The 3,457-nt window shown below is 39.2% G+C and overlaps 1 annotated feature.

The window, feature by feature from the left end:
• Nucleotides 322-884: an enhancer, noted in NCBI's record as "H3K27ac-H3K4me1 hESC enhancer chrX:146735531-146736093 (GRCh37/hg19 assembly coordinates)". NCBI's record gives its function as "activates a minimal SCP1, AML or CMV promoter by ChIP-STARR-seq in primed H9 embryonic stem cells {active_cell/tissue: H9 hESC(primed)}" and the evidence as "EXISTENCE:reporter gene assay evidence [ECO:0000049][PMID:30033119]".

Raw genomic sequence — 3,457 nt, 5'->3', positions numbered from 1 at the left:
ACTTCTCTGTATTGGTTATTCTAGTTATACATTCTTCTAAATTTTTTTCAAAGTTTTCAACTTCTTTGCCTTTGGTTTGAATGTCCTCCCGTAGCTCAGAGTAATTTGATCGTCTGAAGCCTTCTTCTCTCAGCTCGTCAAAATCATTCTCCATCCAGCTTTGTTCTGTTGCTGGTGAGGAACTGCGTTCCTTTGGAGGAGGAGAGGCGCTCTGCGTTTTAGAGTTTCCAGTTTTTCTGTTCTGTTTTTTCCCCATCTTTGTGGTTTTATCTACTTTTGGTCTTTGATGATGGTGATGTACAGATGGGTTTTCGGTGTAGATGTCCTTTCTGGTTGTTAGTTTTCCTTCTAACAGACAGGACCCTCAGCTGCAGGTCTGTTGGAATACACTGCCGTGTGAGGTGTCAGTGTGCCCCTGCTGGGGGGTGCTTCCCAGTTAGGCTGCTCGGGGGTCAGGGGTCAGGGACCCACTTGAGGAGGCAGTCTGTCCGTTCTCAGATCTCCAGCTGCGTGCTGGGAGAACCACTGCTCTCTTCAAAGCTGTCAGACAGGGACACTTAAGTCTGCAGAGGTTACTGCTGTCTTTTTGTTTGTCTGTGCCCTGCCCCCAGAGGTGGAGCCTACAGAGGCAGGCAGGCCTCCTTGAGCTGTGGTGGGCTCCACCCAGTTCGAGCTTCCCAGCTGCTTTGTTTACCTAAGCAAGCCTGGGCAATGGCGGGCGCCCCTCCCCCAGCCTCGTTGCCGCCTTGCAGTTTGATCTCAGACTGCTGTGCTAGCAATCAGCGAGATTCCGTGGGCGTAGGACCCTCTGAGCCAGGTGTGGGATATAGTCTCGTGGTGCGCCGTTTCTTAAGCCGGTCTGAAAAGCGCAATATTCGGGTGGGAGTGACCCGATTTTCCAGGTGCGTCCGTCACCCCTTTCTTTGACTCGGAAAGGGAACTCCCTGACCCCTTGCGCTTCCCAGGTGAGGCAATGCCTCGCCCTGCTTCGGCTTGCGCACGGTGCGCACACACACTGGCCTGCGCCCACTGTCTGGCACTCTCTAGTGAGATGAACCCGGTACCTCAGATGGAAATGCAGAAATCACCCGTCTTCTGCGTCGCTCACGCTGGGAGCTGTAGACCGGAGCTGTTCCTATTCGGCCATCTTGGCTCCTCCTCCGACAATTTTTTTCATAAGCATAAAGTCTTTTTATACTTAAATGATTTTGAACAGTTATGCAGCAATCTTTTCTACAGTGGCCTTGTTAAATTCTACTTTTCCTCAGCTCCGGGACTCATATGTGACAATTGGTTCCACTCACTGGTAATTTATCTTGGAAAAATATATTGTATGCCAACTTGGTACAAGAGGTAGTAAATTAAGAGTAAGTCATATTAATTGAAAATACTCCATGTGAGTATACATAGAAACATATTACACAATAGCTTCTTGCTAGGTTTACATTGACATTTTGTGAGAAAACTATTTTGTAAAAGAAGCATGGTTTGTTCGATATTCATTGTAGTTCCTTGCACAGGTTTAGCATTTTGTTGAGCATGTATTCTATTTTACAAGGATCTATAATGGTCTAGGAGTTTAGTTGGGCAGTGGGAGATACATTATTTTGGAAAAAGTGTGTAATCTAAGAGATTGTGTCATTGCCATCCAAAAGTGTTATCTCTGCTTGAGTGTGAATACGCATGTCTACAAGCCCACAAGGAATCCAAATCTAAAACTAAGGGTGAAGTGATATTTTGATACATTTGTAACAAAACACTAATAGTTCTGCTTTTTAAAAATTACTATCTGTTAATTTGCTAAATACTAAAATTGGTGTGACATTGTACACTTTTCACTTAAAACAACTGGTCTTGACCTTTCCACCCTGAATGGTGCATGTTTAAAAATTAAACCAGTGATTGGTGGCAAGATTGGCATCTCTATGCTTTTTACACTAAGTTCCTAACATCAGAGTCCCTTGGGTCTTTAGTCGAACTGGATATTAAATACTGCATCAAGGCAACTTGAGAGTGAGAAAATAGCTTTTACTGTAGCCAACAGTACAGGTAGGAAATAAATTACAAAGCATCCTCTATATTCTCCATGCAAAGGAAACTGATCATTTTTCATTTTATACATCATTTACACCATGATGTAGTGATTCCACAAAATCACTAGACTATAAAAATAACAAATGAGATAGAACTATTCCTTTGCTAGTTCTAAACGTTCTATAGTGTTTTCTACAGTGTATAAAGGTAGATATGTCGCTGTGCATTTCATTTCCTCTATCCTATATTTATGGAAAAGTAACACTTGTAAGAAGAATATGTTAGAAACAACTTCTTTTTGTAAATAAAAAGGTCCCTTCATTGGGAGAACTGAAGATACACTTTAAATGTGGATAAGTTCCATATTGTATGAGAGTTCAGGGATTTCCTTCAAACTATTAGTAAAAGTATGGATGATTAATTAAATTAGTACATTTCAAACTATTTAGTCTGATTAACCCTCAAAAACTAGGAGTATGTCAGCTATTTCACCCAGAGCCAGTAATTCATATTATATCTTGCTTGAAAAATAATTGGTATTATCTAAGATACTTTAGTAAAATTTTATAAGTCATAATTACATGATGGCATTACATTTGATTATGTAGGGGCATGCGAGCTTCCACTTAAACAATCTCATATTTTTCCCCGTTATTTTTTAGTATGCAAGACATATGTCTGTCTCACTTGGGCTTTTGCTCTCTAATATATATTACATATATATATCTGAAAAGTATTACTTGGAGGTTATTCCACTTTTTTGTGCATATAGAGCTATCGATATGAGCTACTTGTAATATCTTAGTCTGCTTTTTGAACCATTCCCCTATTGATTGACACTTAGGTTATTTTGAGTCTTTGGTATTACAATGTTTATTGAATAACCATATATAATCTCTCTGTATATGGATGTGACTATATCAGTGGGAACAGTGCCAAGCAGTGGAATTGATGGCTCATATGGTAGGTGGCTTTTTAAATATTTATCAATATTGCCAAATTTCTCCCATATAAGCTCTAGCAATTTGCATTAATACCAACAATTTATGAGACTCTTTCCCTCACTCTACACAATACAACATTGACAGAACTGAAGATACACCTCAAATCTGGATAAATTCCATGTTGTATGAGAGAATTCAGGGCATTCATTCAAACTATATTAGTAAAACTATGAATGATTAAGTTGGTAAATTTCAAAGTATTAAACTTTTTGATCTTGCTAATTTGATAGGAAAAATGTAGTATTTGGTAGTTATTTTACCTGTCTTTCATAGTGAGTGAGGCTCAATACTTCCCTTTTATATGTTTACAATCTTTTAGTATTTCCTAGTCTATGAATTGTCTGTGTTAGGCCGTTCTTGAATTGCTATAAAGAAATACTTGAAACTTGATTAATTCATTAAGAAAATGACTCACAGTT

This window comes from Homo sapiens, chromosome X, assembly GCF_000001405.40.
Source record: "Homo sapiens chromosome X, GRCh38.p14 Primary Assembly".
NCBI lineage: Eukaryota > Metazoa > Chordata > Mammalia > Primates > Hominidae > Homo > Homo sapiens.
This window is presented reverse-complemented; position numbering and strand designations above follow the sequence as displayed.